Source organism: Homo sapiens, chromosome 8, assembly GCF_000001405.40.
Source record: "Homo sapiens chromosome 8, GRCh38.p14 Primary Assembly".
Classification (NCBI taxonomy): domain Eukaryota; kingdom Metazoa; phylum Chordata; class Mammalia; order Primates; family Hominidae; genus Homo; species Homo sapiens.
In genome coordinates, this window is record NC_000008.11 from 403111 (window position 1) to 423307 (window position 20197).

The following is a 20197-nucleotide window of genomic DNA, read 5'->3' on the forward strand; positions in this document are numbered from 1 at the left end:
TCTCTGCCTTCCTGTGTGTGCGCCTAACTCAGCTTTCAGGTGAGAGCTGGGGCTCAGGAGGTTATGTACTCACTTGAAGTTGCACGTCTAGGAATCTAGATGATGGTCCCATGTCTGCTGTGCCCCCGCCCTACGCTATTGCTAGGACAGCCAACCTCTACTCAGGGGCTGCAGCCGGTCAGCTGGCATCTACCAGGCTCAGCTGAGAGGGGTTCAGAGCCTAGAGGAGCTGTGGCATGCCAGGTCTAGGCTGCCTGTTGGCTGCTGTCAGGATGAATGCTGTTGTACATAGATTCTTTTTGGCAACCAGAGACTTTCAGACGTCAATGGCCATGCAGTCTCCATGTTGCCCTTCCCATCCTGACACCACACACTCCTTATGCTGCAGCCACCATGGATGCCTGAGTGAACAGCCCTCAAATTCTATTCTAACTCCTTATTTAAAAGATAAGGAGACCCAAGACTGAGAAATTTGACATAAATAAGCAAACCGGCTTGCCTGAGCTGAGTACTGCGTTTGGTCTCACGATAGCTGCCTGCTGGCGTCTGATTTTCACAGCTAGTACAACCTTCCAGCACCTTCCAGGATTGGTTTCTGAAAGAGGGGATTGTTTTTGCTCCCAGTCCCCCTAAACATTCTGTAGGTAATTACAGCACTCATGGCCCCATTTTCTCACTGTGTGTTTGCCACCTTGGGTCTGTTCAGATGGCAAGCTCCTGAAAACCAGGCACCTCCTCCTTGTACCCATGGCACCGTCGTGGTGCCTGGCTGCTGTCAGCACAGAGCATTAGCTCTGAGACACCTCCTCCTTGTACCCATGACACTGTCGTGGTGCCTGGCTGCTGCATTAGCTCTGAGACACTGCTGTGTTTCCCTCCTAGTTCTGCATCAGGTGGTACTGTTTTGTTTTGGTGGCTTGGTTCATTTTTTCTTATTGCAGTATTATCACTGCATAGAAAGCAGAAGTGGTCTTCCCATATTGTGTAAAATCCCCATTAAACATACACCACATGCTTCAGAGCGGCAGGAACAGGAAGAAGGATGGGATTCCCCGTGCCCGAAGGTATACCAAGTCTACATTGTCCTGAGAGTTAGGGACTACATACACTTGTCCGTGCAGCATTTGGGAAGGTCAGAGGAGACGACTGTGTGGTGTGCATTGGAGAAGCGTGGGACCCCTGTGCTCACCACCACCCTAAGCCCCTGTGAGGCAGGGGGCACCTGGTGCACTGTGACCAGCACTCTCCCAGCTTCCTGCCAGGAGGAGCCAGCTCCTTAGGTTCTGTAGGGTTTGACTTAAAGAAAATTTTAAAACATGATTTTTCAACAAGTTGATTGCCAAAAAATCTCTGTGGTTAGGGAGGCACCTCCCTACTGGTCACTAATTCCCCCTGCCGAGCCTTCTGCCCGGGCAACTGCTCCACAATCTCCAGCTGCACCATGTGTTTTGAAAAGCATTTCTCCCCGCCCCTCTGGGGTTTTTCTCCTCCTCCAGTGGTGAAATTCCCGAGGGCACTGAGTGGGTTACTCTTCACAAGCACAGAGCTAAGCCCAGTCCTGGTAGAAAGGACACACAAAGAAGACCCAAGACCATGAATATGCTCTTGACATTACTCTGTGGGCTCTGCTGTTACTCTGTGGGTTCTGACGTTACTCTGTGGGCTCTGCTGTTACTCTGTGGGTTCTGACGTTACTTTGTGGGCTCTGCTGTTACTCTTTGGGCTCTGCTATCACACTATGGGTTCTGATGTTACTCTGTGGGTGCCTGCTATTATTCTGTGGGTCCTGCTGTTACTCTGTGGGCTCTGATGTTACACTGTGGGTTCTGCTGTTACTCTGTGGATCTCTCTGTGGTTACTCTCTGAATTCCTGCTCTTACTCTGTGGACTTCTTTTGTTGCTTTGTGAGTTTCTGCAGTTTGTTTACCTCTTTACCATCCATCCAGGAATTCTTTCACTAGGAATTGTGAGGATGCTAGCCAATTGGGCTAAATTTAATATTACTATGTCCCCCATTGTGGTGGTGGGGTCTTGGCTTGGCAATTTCTACTAGTATTCCATATGCAGTTAACCTTGACACATCAGTGAAAGAAAAATAAAATTTCAGGCCTCCAAACTTACTATGCCAAAGGGAAAAGTTAATATTGGCAAAACACACACACACACACACACACACACACACACACACACACGCAGTCTTCTTTTTGTTCCCAAAAGCTTACTTTATCTTATGTGAAATGTAGATCTACTGAGTATGAGACAGATGCATAACCCTCCCCCATACCTTTCTTTTCACATGTGAAATGTAGATTTGCTGTACTCTAATCAGAGCCTCACAAAAATGTGACCACTTGCCTCATAGCCTACTCTCCCCTCTTTCCCCTCCTACCGGCGCTTTTCCCTTAAATATTTGGAAAAAAGTACAGGCCAAAAATCCTACTGTAACCTGTGTTTCTTTTTCCCCAGACACGTCCACGATTTTGGCAGAATAAACCTCTAAATCAGTTGTGATCTGCCTCAGACACTTTTTGCTTTACACAACAATCCAATCATAGCGATTTATTTGGAAATATACCTTCACAAGTTAAATCAGACCACAGCGCTACTGGGCATTATTTATAATGGCAAACTATTGCAAACAATTTAAAACCTATCATAGACATCATAGAAACTATTCTAATAAATTGATACATTTATATAATAGAATAATCCGCAACCTTGAAGGGAATGAAGGAAGGAATAAAGAGAGAGGGAAAGGAAGAAAAGAACGGAGAGAGGGAAGGAGGGACAGACAGGTGTTTAAATTGGGGATGTGCAAGCAATATTGCCTACTTCATTGCCTTCACATTATTTAAAAGCATGTGGTCAAGAAACACTATTATAATAAGCACTTCAGAAATAACTTCTAAAATTACTTTTCCAAAATATGAATCCATACTATACACTTCCTGTAATGTGCACCACATGTAGATGCACACATTTTAACAAGGAAAAGACTAATACTCATATTTGCTTGCTACACACCAGACACTGTTTTAAATGTTTTGCACACGCTAACTCATTTGTTCTTATGGAAATCCTGTAGCGTGCACCGCCACCTCCATGTTTCTAGGCGGAAACTGAGGCACGGGGGCTGCGGCTCCTGGACCCACCTGGCCTTCTCGGCCTGCCTCTCTCCCTCCAGCCGCCCCACATTCTTTTTTCCTAATTGGAAAAAACTATTCACGCTGCTCCTCCAGGGCATTTCAACCTTCTAGAAAGATTCGACAAGATTCGAAACTGTTTATAAAGAGAACGTGCTTGTGCCCGAATGCTGAGTGTGAGCGCGCAGTGATGCCCTAGAGTGCAGTCATCCCGGGCTTGGCGCCCAGCGGGTGGAAATACGGCCGCAGGGTGGAAATGCGGCGGCGGGGCTGCCCAGGCTCCTGTGGGACCCGCGCGGCGCGGGCACGCACATTCTCAGGGACGCGCGTCCTCAGGCCACGAGAACACCTGAAGGCCCCGGCCAGCGTCCTCCCGTGAAGACCCGGACCGGCGTCGTCACCCGCCGCGCAGGCCTAAATCTCAGGTCTTCACCGTCATCTCCCAGCGATCGCAGGGATCTCAGGCACTGACCGCGCCCGTCCCTGCGCACCCGAGCCCCACCCCACGCCCCCACGCCCCCACGCCTCCACGCCCGGCACTCTGGACGCGCGCGGACGGAGGGGCAGTGCCTACTACGCAGGCGCACGCTGCGGGCGACAGGACCAGGCAGCAACATTGCCACGCGGATCCGCGCCGGCCAATCAGCATGGCCAGGGGCGGGGCTTCCCTGAGGCGCGCCGGGAGGCGGCGGCCCACTTCCGGCAATAACCGCCTGGTCGCCGTCAGGTGCGGGCCCAGGTGGCCGGCGCGCCCGTTGGGCACTGGGGGACGCGGGCGCGTCAGGTGAAGACTGGGGGCCGCAGGCGCGCTAGGTAGGTGCGGGGTGCAGCGGGCGCGTCAGGTGAAGACTTGGCGCCGCAGGCGCGTTAGGTGAAGATTGGGGCTCGCGGGCGCGTCAGGTGGGGACGACGGGCCACGGGCGAGTCAGGTGAAGACCGGGGGCGGCGGGCGCGTCAGGGGAAGACATGGGGTCGCGAGCGCGTCAGGTGGGGACGGGGCCTGTGGGAGGGTCAGGTGGGGACCGGGGGCCTCGGGCGCGTCAGGTGGGGACGGGGTTGTCGCGGGCGCGTCAGGTGGGGACGGGATTGCCGCGTGCGCGTCTGCTGAAGTCTGGGTCCGCGGGCGCGTCAGGTAGGGACGATGGGCCGCGGGCGCGTCAGGTGGGGTCTGGGGGCGGCCGGCGGGTGTGGAGGGTTCATTCAGGGAGCTGCGGGCGAGTCGGGTGGGCACGGGGGCCGCCCACAGGTGCACCGCGCGTCCTCAGCCGCTTCCCCTGCCCACCTTCTGCGACCCCTTCCCGCCCCCACCCTCCTGGGCCGTCTTGCAGGCCCGAGCTTGTGTCCGCCTCGCTGGGCAAGGTGTTTCGGGGACGACTCCTGCCGGCGTTTGCCCTCCGGGCTCGGTCCTTGCCTCTTCGCCGGTGGGCACCTGCTAGGTGTGACCCCTCATTCCTCCAGGCCACTCTGCCCCGTCTGCTGCTTACCTTTTTTTCCCTACTCCTGGTCTGTGGCTCTGGCTCTGTCTCTGTCTCCTCCCTTAATTTCTTTCCATGCTTATTTTTCTTGCAGCAGACACTAATTTTGCATCCTTCCCCTCACAGTAAGCTCAATTTGACCTTTTTCTCAATTAGATTCCACCTCTGTCCTTGGGCCTATTCAAACTCATTTTGAAGACTAAAGAATCTAGAGAACCATTTCTTCCCTTATGAAGCTGTCTCTTGCTGCCTCCAAATCCTTACCATCCGGCCCTAATCAGAAAAGACGTTTACTCTTTCATATTCTGTTTTCTCCTCGTCTTTACGTGTTTACCTTTCCCATGAGGAATCTGTGATTATCTGTAAGTCCTTAGAGTACAACTTATTTCTGACTCTCAGCCCTCAGTTTGCCATTTTTTAAAATGTCCTTTCTGGATCAAATTTGTCCACACTTATAAGCAAAACAAATAGGGAAACACATGTGGTCTTTTAAGATGGATTGGAGTTTTCTTTCCTGTGTTGTATTCCTTGTTTTAGTGCCTTTGTATTTAGGTTCATCATTACTTGAAATCATATTAGTGATCTGTAATAGACGGTAAAAAAAAAAAAAGTTAAAAAGCTTATAATTTAATGGCATCTGTTTTAATAGGGTTTTCAGGAACTGCTATTATAAACATAGTGGTTAGGAGCATGGATCCTGGAGTGAGACTCCATCATTTTGAATCCCAGCTCCACTGAACTCTTTGCCTCAGTGTCTTCATCTTTAAAATACATAATGAAACTTGTAAAACAAGAATAATGTTTTCTACCTTGGAGGACAGTGTGAGGATTAAATGAGACAACATATGTAGATTGTTTAGAGTAATGCGTAGCCTATGGTAAGCTCTAATAAATGTTTGCCATTATTATTGTTAAGAAAAAATATGCTTGTTGAAGGAAAGACATTTTTTTTTGTTCTGAGTCTCTCATGCCAAGAGTTTCCACCAGCAAATGAACTTCATGAAGTCCTTTTCTACTGAAGTATCCCACCCACGTGTCCTACCACATGAAATAGAAATTAAGGGAAGATTTTAAATAGTTAATCATTGTAGGCTGTCTGAAATAAGTTGGCATAAAATGTGCTTAAAATTTGCAAATTATACAAGCTACACCCTTTGAGTGCTTGCTCTTAAAAGTTTAATAATTTTCAGGAGTAATTTCTAGTTTTTTTGTGTTTGTAAATTCCCAAAATAAAGGTAATTTTAATTAAAATAAGCGTATAAAGCTCTAGCAATTCACATTTTTTAGCTGAACAAATACATTCCCATTGAAAGCCGTGGGTCATCATCATTCTATAAAACTTTAGTAGCATTGTTTTCTGATTTGCAAACTCAGAAGCCTCAGTTTGGGAGTATTTTTGAAAACTTGAGATCCAGACCCCAGACGTTTTAAATTGCAACTTGTCTTTTTTTGTTGGTGGTGTTGTTTTTAATCTGCATCCAGAGTTTGTGCTTTAGTTCATGAGCTGTATAGATTATGCTTTAAGAAAAACTTCATTGTGATCCATAGAGCATACCATAACAAATCTGTGAAGCACACACATCTTCAGAGAAACAAATCTTTTCCTCTGTGTTGAAAATAAGCCTTTGGGCATGGACTATTTTTTTATTTCCATGGCTGCATTTCACTCCTTTCAACCCTTAAAAAATCAAACTTATCAGCTGAGAAATTCAGACCAAACTATTCATTTTTCACTGAGTTGCCAAAATGAATTATCTGTAGAGTTTAGGTAGTTGTAAAAGAATTGGTTATATTAATGGAAACAGTAGGCAGGCTCTTTATGTAAATGTTATAAAGATTGTGAAACTAGAAGATAAGTGTATTAAATGATGAGTGGGCATAGTGTCTAAATAGGTAAGTACAATATTTGTGTGTCATCAAGTTTTAAAATATTTTTTCAGCTGAGGATACCGGGATGTACATAGGACAGTCATCCAGATAAGGTTCTGTTGGCAAGATATTTGTTGCCTAGTTGTTTTTTTCTGTCTCCATGTTTTTCATTTGATCTATCCTACAAGCCCTAGAAAATTATTATTCTCAAAACAACACTGCTCACGCTGATCTGTTGCTGAAAAACGTTTAATTACTGACAGAATAAAGTCTAAACACCTTTGATATTCTTCTATGACCTGGCTTCTAGTCGCTTATGTACCAGTCCTCTGATAAACTTTCTCCATTTTATCCCATCTTTTCTGCTTATTTTTCTCAAACTGTGGCACACATTTTGCCCTTTATACTTATTCACCCACCATTCCCATGATTGATATTTTTTGCCTTGCCTCTCCATTCATTTAAGATCTAACCATGCTTCAGGGCGAAGATCGAGTCCTAGTTTCTAGTCAGAGCTTTCCCAGCTGATTTGCTTTCTGCTCAAATTAACTTTATTCTCTCTTTACCACAAGTTACAAGATTGTGGACATATCTGTATGTATGTATACATGCACACTCACATATCTACATGTAAACACACTTTATTATATTACACTTGTATGGAATTTGTGTGTGTTTTGCTATTGTTCTTTTTTAGTTCCTTAGCTAAATTGCACACTTTTGAGGGCAGGAACATCTAGCATAATAACATGTAGTTGGTGCTCAAATGTTTGTCGTTGAAGTAATCCTGTATTTGGTCTGTTAGCAATATTTTTCAGGATTATCCACTTGATTTTTTTTTTTAATATAGATTTCTGAATCCACAGTTTCAAGTTGATATTGAGAGATAATTTGATAATTATCAGAGATGTTCCTAGCAGCCATTTTCTGTTGAATGTGTTTTATGAGACTCAAGGTGCCACTTCAGTCATCTGCTACTTCATGGTCTTTGCTGCCTTTGGTGGGAATGTTCTTGAAAATCATAAAATCAGCTGTATGCTATTAGAGACAGTTTTAGATAACTTTAGGTCGACTGAACATGGGCATTGAGTTTTGCATTTTAGGATGTTCAGTAGTTGTGAAGCAGTTCTGTGAGACAAAGTTTATCAAAATTGTGCTGAAATTTAAGGAATAAAGTATTTTCTAAAGCAAGAATTTAAATTAATCATTATGTGACTGAAAAAGACATGTTCTGACTATAAGTCAGTTTAGCAAGGTTTGAGATTTTCTTCGTGTAAAGAATAATTACTTCATCATTTCCTACACCAGTCAAGAATTAAGCATTTGTGGTTGATCCAGGAATATTGTTGAAGTCTATGTAATTTCCTTCCTTTTTTTTCTGTATCTTCTAGGATTGTATAAGTGCCCATTTAATAGCTTGTTTTTTGTTAATTATACTAAATATAGTTGGGAGGTGGTGTTTGGAGATGTTCATCTCTCATTTATTCTCCATGATGTAAATATTCTACATTTTTCTCTACGATATAAATATTCTATATTATAAAATACTCAAGTCTGTTCGGGACGTGAAATTAAAGTAATACATTACAGAAACCACTTTTGCTTGAGTAATTCAGCTACCTTTCTGTAGCTAAATTCAACGTATATTTTCAACTCTTGCCATGCTTGGCATTTTTATAACATTTTCGTCTCTGTCGACCATTTCTTTCCTGAAATACATTTTTCTCCTGACTTCCTACTTCTCCCTCTACCTTTTTGGCTCTTCCTTTTCAGTTTTTCTTCTTGGCTTATATCTGCCGATCCCTTAAATGGTGATGTTTCTTAGGGTTTTTTTCTTGGCTCTCTTGATTTCCCTCTCGACATATTCTGTGATATTATTTGTGTGGTTTTGATTAGTGTCTGAATGCTCATGATTTTCCTCTTTCTCTCTAGTCTAACTCTCTTCTGAACCATGGATGTATATATTTATTCATTCAGTAAATAAATACTTATAGAGCTCCTGTTGTTTTCCTGGCATTGTTCAAGGTAATGGAATACGGACCTGAACAAGACATTGCATTTTCTTGGAGGAAAACAGATGATAAACACGCTAATCATTTCAGACAGCCCTTACAACTATGAAGGCACTAGATAATGGCTTAGACTGGTAGGGAGGGGGTTGAGGCAGCAGAAGGGCGCTGTTTGGACGGGGAGTCAGGGAGCCTTTCTGGGATGTGACATTTTGAATCAGCAGTGTGAGCATCTGAGGTGGTTTTTAGCCTCATGCACAGTCTCACTGTGTATGAGAATCACCTGTGGACCTTTAAAAACTACTTAAACTTAGCCTTCACCCCCAAATATTCATATTTAACTGAACTAAGATGGGACTAAGCACTTGAATGTTTAAAAAGCTTCCTGTGATGTTAATGCACAGCAGTAGTTGAAAACCACTGATCAAGAGGAGCAGAAATCAAGTCAGTGGGAAGAACTAGCATTTGAAGTCTCACTCTTATCAAATTGTGAGCGTCATGAAGTTAATCACGAAGTTGCATCATTTTTTAAGTCATAATTTTTATACCTGGAGTCTGGTATTTCAAACTGAACAGGCATGTCCTAAGCTGAAATTAATATCCCTTATCTCTCCTTTCCTAATAAAACCCTGCTGTTCCTTCTGTATGTCTTATCCCAGATCCAGGGGCTACAAAACAAAATCTAGATAACTTCCTTGATTTCCTCCTCACGTTTCCAGACAGTCTTCAAGTACTGTTTGACTCTGTTTCCTAAATATTTCTGCAGTCTCTGCTCTTCTGTTTATTTTGCCACTGTATACTCTCACCTTTTAAAGGTCAACATTCAGAAGCCTCCAGTCCCAACTACTTTCCTCCAGGTGACCCTCACCCCATACCTTCTCCCACTGTGATACTGAGTTCTTTGTAAACCACAAATCTGATTGAATCACTTACCTGCTTACTTCCCTTTTTTGGCCCCTCATTGCCCTCAGAATAGCATCCAACTCCTCTAACTTGATCCAGCCTTAAATGACTTCTCCATCCTTAATTCTGGCCCACTCTCTCTCATCTATTCTAAGCTTCAACCAAACTGAACTACTTAGAGTTGCTGAACATGAATACATTTCATTTTCGGTTGCTTCTAACTTCTGGCAAAGAGAGAATACTTGTTTGGAATAATATTCCCTATTCCACACTCCCTGACCCCTGCTTGTTTTTCAGGTATGAGCTAGAATGTCACCTCTGGTAAACCTTTCATGGGATACGCAGTATTAGGCCAGTAAAACCACGTTTACTTACCCCATTTGATCACTTTAGTACACAGTACTGTGTTATTGTCACTGTCACCAATGTCGAGCCAACGTTTAATTAATGAGCAGACATTTAAATGTTAAGAACTTTAATCTTTAAAATTAATAAATGTTCTAAGTGAAAAGAAACTTTTATGAATTATATATACTTTTTAACATAATTTAACTTTTTCATAGGAGAACTATGCCATTTTTGGGTCAGGACTGGAGATCTCCTGGATGGAGTTGGATTAAGACAGAAGATGGCTGGAAGAGATGTGAATCTTGTAGTCAGAAACTTGAAAGAGAGAATAACCGTTGTAACATCAGTCACAGCATGTAAGTTACAGCTGAGCAGAACCATGCCATTTGCCAGTTTAGCATGTATGGCCTTACCTATTTTTCAAGTCCCTGCAAAGCTCCATAACTTTTGAGACTTGCCCACCCAGAAGGCTGGTGTGAAGAGACAAGTTGTTTAGCTAAAAAATGAGGCTAGTAGATTGCCTAATATTCATACACAGATGCTTTCGTCTTTTTTTTTTTAATTTAAAACATTTAATCCTCACAATAATTGGGAGAGAGGTATTATTTTTAATCCCACATTATAGCTGAGGAACCTGAGGAAATTGAAATGCACAGTTTTGGTGGCATATATCAGAAATGTAGTAATAGTGGCTTACACAAGACAAATCAGTTTTTCTCCCTTGAAAGCCTGAGTTGGCATGATGACTTTGCTCGTAACATTGTCAAGGGGCCAAGCACAGTCTGTCTTGTCGCTCTGCCATCCCAAGAGTGCAGCCTTACCTGCATGGTCCAAAACGGTGTATTACCTGCTACATTTGCGCTCAGGCCGAAGGGTAGGTGGGGTTGGTGAGACACGACCTGTGTTTCAGTGGCACAGCCCAAAAGTTACATGCATCACGTTGCCCACACCTTGTTGGCTAGAGCACTAGCGCAAGGGATGCTGGGGGTTGTGGCCCAGCCATGTGTCCAGATAAAAACCAGAGACTGCATGAGCACAGTACCAGGGTAGGTGGCTATTGTATGATGACTACAGTGTCTACCACAGTGGTGTTTGAGAATTTGGAGGGCTAGGAAGGTCTTGAGATAGCCTCCTCTAGAATGTCATGGGTCTAGTCATTTATTGTATATTATTTTACATTTGTGTAATTATCAACTGTGTGCTTGATGGGCCATATGTTTTTCTGACAGAAGTTCAGTAACTTTAGGCCAGAGACTGGTTTTTGCAGTATTTGAAGCAGAAATTAATTTTCCATTTTAGTTACAGTGAGGATAACACATAATATTTTTAAACTTATATTGTAGCAGTTCTCTGCCACGCTAAGATGTATTTAATGTTGATAGCTGTAAAACTTATTTAAAGCTTGTAATTATGCTGTTGGTATTGCATAATGTTATACAGTTATGAATTTTCTAGGTCATTTTTACTATCTTATAATTTTTATGGCAGTTTTTTTAAAATTTAAAGATGGTTGACTATATCTAGAAATGTCAGGTGTCTCACATTTACTCCCAGTAGCCACTATTAAATGTGGATTTTAGGATGGGGAGATATATTACAGAATGTCAATTTAAAAAAAGCTGTAATGCTTGAAGTGCAGTGTTACTGCTGCATCTGCGGTGAGGAATTTGTGGGAATTTGTTTTTTTCCCTCATGTATTCTTTTTCCCATCATCTCAAACACATTTTAAATGTCTGAGAATTGTTTTTTTTTCCGCTGCACACATAAAATTAGAGAATACAGTCGAGATATGTTTTCTTTGCATAACTGGCTACCCCTCTGTCTCCCTTTCCCCTTCGCCCAAACTTACCTACAGATCCGCCCCTTTGAACCAATGGCTGCTAACACAAGCATCCCTGCGCAAAAAGGTTTTATGACAGCAACGCTGGGTACCCTCTGTAGGGCACAGTGAGCGAGAACTAGTCAGCACCACCTTTTACCCCACCTAGTTGCTTTGCAGTACTGGGATCCCCCGCCCTGCTTCCTACTCTGCCATTTCGTTCATCTTCCTCTGACTTTTGTCCGTTCCTACCAAAATGGAAATCCAAACCTGTGGGTAGAGGCTGTTGGTGACCTGAAACTGCAGCAGATGTTTAATGTATCCTTTCTCTGGAAGGAAAAACCATTTAACTTTGAACCTAAAATTGATTTTAAAAAGATAAGACCATATGTAATCACCATTTAAAATCACTATATAAATGGCCTTCTCTTTCCCCCACATGTCTTTGAGAAACATAGTACTCCTAATTCTTTGATTTAAGGTGGGCTTTCAAAACTTAGAAAAAGAACTATAGTAAAAATAATTTAGGTAATCAAGATTCTACGTAACTTTGTTAATTTTCTTTTTTGTGAACGTGCGTGAAAATAGGCCTTTAGTATCCTTCTGCTTACTTTTCAACTCATTTTAGTATTCAAAGTTTAGAGAACATAGGGAAGAAATTAAGCAATTCAACATGGTTGATCTGGGGGCAGCCAGCCAGTTCATACTCTGAAAGCTGCTCTTTCAAGCAACATTCATGATATTACTGAGGTTTAAACATAGTTTGATAGACAGAGGATTCATCTTAACCCTGACCTAAGTAAGCCTTTTATTAGGCTGTTGATTCAGAATAGAGGGTAGGTCGGCTGGGGTCCAGATTGAAGAGAGGACAGCCAGTTAAGGGTTTCAGTAGACAGGTGAGAAATGTTGAGTGCTGCCTATGGTGATGTCTGCACAGCTGGACAGAGGGTCAGGATCAGTAAAAGAGTGAGTCACATATTGATTGGACTAGCCAAAAGGGTGGCCCTGAGAAGGACTCTGAGGGTTCAGCTGGGGAAATGGTGTAAGTAAATAATCTGGCTGGGTCTTCTCTCCAGCGTAGTGTTTCTGCCACTCAGTTTTATGTTTGATGACAGAAATTGTATGATTCCTATAAAGGAAAGATACTGAAGAAGAGTGTCTAAATACTATATATCTTTAAGAATTTCTAACCTTTTCCATCAGATTTCAGTGTTATTATGGGCACTGTAATTGCCTATAGTTATTTCAGTATAACTATAGGCGCTGTTGAGGATATATAAGAAGTTGTTCCTTGTCTTTTATGAAGTTGACATTTGACAAGGGAGTGTGTAGTCAAACATAACGCATTCAGCTCAGTCTTGGCAGAGACTCCCATTGCTTGCTCCTCCTTGTTCACCCACTCATTTATTTGCTTTTTTCACTTGCTCACTCATTTATTCTTCCACTCATTCTGTAAACTGATGTTTCTTGGTCATCTGCTATGTGCCGGTAGGGCCCCCATGCGGCCCACAGCCCCACTGTGTTTGCTTGGTTGGCCTGCTCTACTCCTCTTTGTGTTATCAATATTTCAAACTCCTTCACTCTACTCTGATGTTCGGCTCCCTACATACTCCTTCCCCATCTTTTCAAAACAACCGGATCTCTTGTGTCACCAGGAAATCCAGAGCCATCAGACTTTTTCTCAGAACCTTAGGTTGATTTAAAATTTTCATCTTCATTGACTTTATCCTGAATCTTTATTTTTTGTCCAGAACACCTGAGATATTCCGAACAGAGGCTTATTTTTGTTAATTATCTCACAGGGAACAGTTAAGTGTGTTGCCCTTTGCCTGTTGATTACCCCCAGGGGTAGAGTCATAGGGATTTTTGTTACATGAGTGGTAGTGGCTTTTCTTTGCTCTTGATGGGAAGGACACAGCTTTCCCCACCCCTCCAGAAAGGGTTTCCTTGGAAATGGAATGGGCCGGAGTCCTACCTCTACTCCTTTGTTGGGTAGATAAAATCTACCCAGGAGCCAGACTTAGAGATGTCTCTGGTCTTATTATTACACATACTGTTACACCTGTTTAGTCCACAATATATTAAGGATTTACTATGTGCTGTGGTGTCAGGATACAGCAATAAATGAAACATGAAAACCCATTTCTGATGGAGCTTGCATTCTGGTGAAACAGATAGGCAGTGGACAAGATGAGTTCCGCAGTGTAGTAAGTGTGATAGTATGTGGGAGATAAGAAATGCTAAGGATGGGTGGTGGTAGAGGAAGATCTATAGAGAGTGGCCTCTAAGAAGCAATCTGTGGAAGGAAACCTTAGGCAATGAGAGCAGGATGAATGGATATCTGAGGGCAGGGCCTCCCCGGCAGGGAAAGAAAAGTGCAAAGGCCTCAAGGCAGGAGTACATCATCTGGCATATTCAGGGACAGCAGGGTTCCAGCATGGGTAAGGGGAGCCCGGAAGCGGGGCCAGTAGGAGACAAGATCCCAGCCTGACTGGGTCCCAGCTGTGAAGTACCTGTTGTCATAGTAAGGACTTGGGCTTTTCTGAGTGATGTGGGGAGTCAGGGGTTTGAGTAGAAGAGTGATTTGTTCAGGCCTATGCTTTAACAGGATTATTCTGGCTACCGTGTTAAAAACAGACTTCCAAGACGCAGGACAGAAGCAAGTGGACCAGTTCTTAAGAGGGTTGGGTTAACCCCCATGGGAAATGATCATGGCTTAGAGAGAAAGGAGGCGGTGGATGAGGAAGGGCTCAAATCCTGGATGTATTCTGCAGGTGGAACTGACACATGGAATGTGTATGGTGCAGTAAGAGGGTCGAGGGGTGAGACTAAGACTTTGGCCTGAGCAGCTAGAAGGTAGAGTTGCATTAACTGATATAACATCTAAATCCGCCTTGTCTTGCACAGGGTCCTTGGGTCTGTGCCTAGGAACAGAAGCACAGTGTCACAGGTCATGCGCCTCTTTCCCTTTCCAGTGAGGTGGTGTCACCATGTTCTCCTAATGCATTGCATGTTCATCCTTTTCCTCCACTTGTATTTCCTGGAAGTTGTTCCATGTCAGTGTGCATTGAGTTCCTCATTCATTATAAGGATGGCATTTCATTGTTTAGGTATACCATAACTTATTTGTCCAGGCTTCCACTGACATCATTTTGGCTATTTCCCACTTTTCATTATTTCTAGTGGTATAGCATGGGTCATCTGTGAATATCTCTTTGCATACTTGTGTGAATATTTATGAAATCTAAGGTCCTAATAGAATCGTATATTTAAAATTCTAGTATTGCCACATTACCTTCTGTAATTTTGTACCAGTTTATACTCTGCATAGTAGTGTACACAGATTCCCATTAATTCACACTTCACCCAAGTTGTGTGTGTGTCAGTGCAGGTTACACACTGCACAAGGGGAGGGTTTCATCATGAGGGAATAATGGCTGAAATGCATCTGTGTGCCTTGTGTAGGCTGCATGTGTGTCTTCATGTAAAGGTGCTGTCTGCTCCCATGCCATCTGCGTTTTGGGGACAGTGCACAAGGTGTTTACAGCAGCCTTGTCTTTGTAATTACTTTAACTAGTTTGGTGGGCAAAAAACATTAGACATTTTATTTCTTTTCCTTTCCCTTTCCTTTCCTTTCTTTTGTTCGTTTGTTTGTTCTTTTTTTTTTTTTTTTTTTTTTTTGAGATGGAGTCTTGCTCTGTCACCCAGGCTGGAGTGCAGTGGCATGATCTCGGCTCACTGCAACCTGTGCCTCCTGGGTTCAAGCAATTCTCCTGCCTCAGCCTCCTGAGTAGCTGGGACTACAGGCGCCCACCACCACACCTGGCTAATTTTTGTATTTTTAGTAGAAACAGGGTTTCACCATATTGACCAGAATGGTCTTGATCTCTTGACCTCAGGTGATGCACCCGCCTCAGCCTCCCAAAGTGCTGGGATTACATGCGTGAGCCACCGTTCCCGGCTTGTTTCTTTATTAAGTAAGAGAGCTCTTTCAAAAGAAATTATATTTCCCCTGTTTACACTTCTAAAAAACTAAGAAGATAAGAATAGTTAATTTACAAAACACTAGGATGCACAGTGCAACAACAGGAGAAATCAAAGTTTTTTTAACCAAGGTAGTTCAATTGGGAAGGGAAAGATTTTTTCAACTGGATAAACGTGCAAGGAAAAGTGAACCTCTACTACTCACTCTTACTGTGGACATAGCATTAATGTTAGATGGATTTTAGAATGAACTGTAAAAGGCTAAAACTGTAAAGTTTTAAGAAGAAAACAGTATTTTCACAATGTAAAGTAGGCAGATTGCTTACCACACAAAAACCACAAGCTGTGAAAGAAAAAAAAGATGAACTTCATATTAAAAACTTATACCTAAAGTCATCATTAGAAAGTCAGAGCAACGGCTGGGCGTGGTGGCGCAGGCCTGTAATCCCAACACTTTGGGAGGCCAAGGCGGGCGGATCACCTGAGGTCAGGAGTTCAAGACCAGCCCGGCCAACATGGTGAAACCCCGTCTCTACTAAAAATACAAAAAAAAAAAAAATTAGCCGAGCGTGGTGACAGGTGCCTGTAATCCCAGCTACTCAGGAAGCTGAGTCATGAGAATCACTTGAACCTGGGAGGTGAAGGTTGTGGTGAGCAGAGATCCTGTCATTGCACTCCAGCCTGGGCAACAAGAGCAAAACTCCATCTCAAAAAGAAAAAAGAACAAGGTTTACTATAAAATGTAAAATCACCACAATCAAGAGAGTGGTATGTGGTACTGGCGAAAAGATAGATACACAGGTCAGTGGAACACAACAGAGGACCCCAGATAAGTCCATACAGATATGGTCGGTTTGTTTTTGACAGTGGTGTAAAGGCACCTCTTAATATATTCCATGGAGAAAGTGTAATCTTGTCAGCAAATGGGCTAGAAAACTAGATGTGTATATGCAAAAATAAATAAAAACCTGTACAGCTCACATTTTATACAAAAATGAACTCAAAATGGATCATATACCTAAATGTAGAATGTAAAACTGTAGAACTTATGGAAGAAACCCAAAGGAAAGTCTGCATGATCTTGGGCAGAGTTTTTAGATACGATACCAAAAGCACATCTTTCCATAAAAGAAAAAAAATCTATAATTTGCATTTTATCAAAATTTTAAAATTCTACTCTCAGAGAACACATTTGTAAGTCACATATCTGACAAAGGGTTAGTATCCAGAATAATAAAGAACACTTAAAACTCAACAATAAGAAAACAACCCAGTAAAAAATTGGGCAATAGTTTCGGTGAACCTGTACTTCACCAAACAACTTGCATGGATTGCAGAGAAGCCCATGCAAATAAGCAGAGAAAAATAAGCATGTGATGCCCAACTTAATTTATTGTTAGGGAAACAAATGCAAGCAATCCGGAAGGTAAACACTGCAGCTAGCCTGAGGCCACGGTACCATTTGGGGCAAGCAGCTGACCAGCTAGAGATATAACAGTATGTTCTGGGGAATGAGACTGCCACAGTGGGCCTAGGTGATTTGGAAGGCTGTGCACCTTCCTCATAAGGTACCAGCAGAGGCCTACGTCAGTAGCTAAGATGAAAGAACAATCACGAAGCATCCCAGTGCTGGCAAGGACAGTGCCAAGTGCTGGCAGGAATATGCTCTCCAACCCTGCTACTGGGAATGCAGAATGGCACAGCCACTCTGGAAAACAGTGTGGCAGCTTCTTACTGTGTTACACTGCCTTAGGAGCTGGCAGTCTCACTCCTAGGTGTTTACCCAAGGTAAGTGAACATTCATGCTCACACAAAACCTGCATGTGACTGTTAATAGAGTTTTATTCAGTAATTGCCAACACTCAAAATCAGATATCCTTCAACTGGTGAATGAATAAACAAATTGTGGTAACATCTCTACAGGAGAATACCACTCAAAAGTCAAAAGGAACAAACTATTAATTCGCACAACATGGATGAATCTTAAATTCGTTTTGCTTAGTGAAAGAAACCAAACCTAAAAGGCGTCCATACTGTATGATTCTATCTAAAGGATGCGCTAGAAAAAGCACAACCATAAGGAAGACGAACAAATCAGTGGTTGCCAGGGGTTAAGAGTTGGGGAAAAGGAGTTGATGACAAAGAGAGTCAGAGGCAGTTTGGGGAGTGATGGGACTGTGTTAGATTTGACTGTGCACCTGTCAAAACCCATGGAACTGTGCACCACAGAATTTCACTAAAATCAACATAGATGTTTGTGTATGTGTTATTGGGGGGAGTGCCCAAATGATACAAACTGTGACAGATGAATCAAATGGTATTACAAACTTATCCCATAATCCAGGGGTCCCCAACCCCTAGGCCATGGATCGGTACCAGTCCGTAGCCTGTTAGGACCTGGGCCACAGAGCAGGAGGTGAGCAGAGGGCAGGCAGGCATTACTGCCTGAGCTCTGCCTCCTGTCAGGTCAGCAGCAGCATTAGATTCTCATAGGAGCGTGAACCCTGTTGTGAACTGTGTATGTGAATGATCTAGGTTGCTCACTCCTTTTGAGACTAACTAACTAATGCCTGATGATCTGAGGTGGCACAGTTTCATCCTGAAACCATCCCCCCTCCTCGCCCCAGTCTGTGGAAAAAGTGTCTTCTAAGAAATTGGTCCTTGGTGCCAAAACGGTTAGGGAATGCTGCCATAACCGTTGTGAAATGGATGTGGAATTAGCTGACTTATCAGTAACTTTGGAAAACAGTGTTTTGACAGGATGCTGTAAGGCTAAAGACAAAACCTGTGGTTAGTGCACTTGTTTCTCATAGGGGCATGGGTTAGCAATCTCAAAACTGTACATATTCTAGGAAGAAGTTACAAATAAGAAAGGATGGTGCTAGAGTTATCCTGTGGTTCTGGATCAGGGTTGGAGGTGTCAGCATGAACTAGGGCTGTTGGTTTTTTCAGAGAGAGAGAAATGTGGGTCTATGCATGTGTGAGTTAGTATAACACATCTGTTTTCTAAGTCTGTTGACAGAGGGCCTTAGAGCAGTGACACCTGCATCAGTGACTAGAGCCAGCCTGAGATGGTGGATCCTAAGGGCTCCTCAGGGAAGGGGTTGGTTCCAGGGCTGGGATAGAGCAAATGAAAGGTGAGTGATGGGAGCCTGTCAGATATCAGAAGGGTAGATGTCCGTCAAAAAGTGCTGCATTGGCCAAAGCTGGAGCAGTTTGAGCCACAGGATAGACAACAGTAGTAATGGATTATAACCTAAAAAAGAAAAGAAATAGCCATCCATTTAGGCTGATATGAATACATAAATGAATGTATAAGTGAGGGATAAGGAACAGTTCTTCCTTGTAGAATTCCAGTTAATAAATATAGAAGGAATAAGGGAAATAGAAAATCACCATGATAATTGTTATAAGCACAGTCCCTTGACAGATGCAGCAAGGTGAAATCTAACAGGTAAAAGAATTAGGAGAAATAGAATATCTGCCAAGTCTCCCCCCAAATAGCTATTCATTACAAAGGGAACAGTACTTTACAGTGGAGAAACCTGGCAGACACTGCCCCAACCAAGAACTCAAAGGTGGCATCATATTGGCAGCAGGTACCTGTGGTGTGGTGCTGTGTGAATGGCACATCATCTGTGGTGGTTTTCCCTAAGCTGAATCAGGAGAAAACAGCAGACAAACCTAATTTGACGGACATTCTACAAAATAATTGACCGGTACTCTTCAAGGTGATGAGAGGAGACTACAAACTCTTCTGGCATGGGGGGCCATGGTAGTGTGTCAGCTAAGTACAGTGTGGATCCTGGACTGGGCCCAGCAGCAGACGGGCTCTGGTGGGTGGCCTGGCAAAACAACAAAGCCTGTGGTTGAGCTGGGAGTACCATGCCAGAGTTCCTCTTCTGGTGTTGATCCTTGTTCTATGGCTGCATGAAGGTGGGTGGAAACTTGGGGACACTGTGTGTTCTGCCTCTGAAACTCTTGTGCAAGTCTAAAATCACCTTTAAAAGTCTTTTTAAGTCATCATTAAGAAAATTAATAGGCAAGCCAGAGGCATCACGTAGTCTGACTGTGCTGTCAGTCGTGTCTGGGGCCTGCGTCAGCACAGGGCTCGCAATGGTGGCTTACCTCTTAGTTCCCAAGGAGAGGCAGAGTGGAGAGCCTCCCTGGTGATTGACTTAATAGCTATATGGAGCTTTCTATGGTGTCTTTATTGGGTATGTGTTACGGGAGGTACACAGGTCAGGACTCCCTGAACTGTACTTAAAAGTCTATTCTGCTGTATATGAATTATGCCTCAGGAGAGAGAAGAGAACTTATGCTCCATTTGGAATTTATCTTGGAGCATGACGTGAGGAACAAATCTGTTTGTGTCTTTGTGCAGTAGCTGTCCAGTTACTGCAGCAGCACTACTAACTGAAAAGCCCCTTCCCTGCTGTGTTGAGATACCTCTTTTTCCCATACTAAATTTCCATGGGCAATTGGGACTACAGGGTTTTCTCTCTGTCTTCCTGGACTTCCCTCATCACACTGATGTAAATAGAGAGGCTTAATACTGTGTTTTCATGTCAGCTGGGGCTAGAGTCTTCACCATTGTGGTTCTTACTCAGAGTTGTCTGGTTATTTGTGCTTACTGGTTCTTCTTCT

At 43.3% G+C, this 20197-nt stretch overlaps 1 protein-coding gene across 11 annotated transcripts in view, besides 2 other annotated features; it reads left to right on the forward strand.

Moving 5' to 3' along the window:
* Window positions 1410-1469: an enhancer, noted in NCBI's record as "active region_26942". NCBI's record gives its function as "activates an Ori minimal core promoter by ATAC-STARR-seq in GM12878 lymphoblastoid cells {active_cell/tissue: GM12878}" and the evidence as "EXISTENCE:reporter gene assay evidence [ECO:0000049][PMID:35858748]".
* Window positions 3571-3980: a silencer, noted in NCBI's record as "silent region_18878". NCBI's record gives its function as "represses an Ori minimal core promoter by ATAC-STARR-seq in GM12878 lymphoblastoid cells {active_cell/tissue: GM12878}" and the evidence as "EXISTENCE:reporter gene assay evidence [ECO:0000049][PMID:35858748]".
* Window positions 3848-20197, forward strand: part of FBXO25 (F-box protein 25) — a 71010-nt gene continuing 54660 nt past the window's right edge. For 5 of the 11 annotated variants that reach the window (NM_183421.2, NM_183420.2, XM_017013314.2 and 2 more), the window contains exons 1-2: window positions 3848-3956; window positions 9963-10103. In NM_183421.2, the coding sequence (NP_904357.1) occupies window positions 9970-10103 (134 nt within the window). In that variant the 5' untranslated portion in view covers window positions 3848-3956; window positions 9963-9969. Of the gene's footprint in view, window positions 4073-4206; window positions 4276-4311; window positions 4580-9962; window positions 10104-20197 lie in introns of those variants that run through there. The other 6 variants (XM_047421684.1, XM_017013313.3, XM_011534748.4 and 3 more) reach the window with 6 other exon arrangements.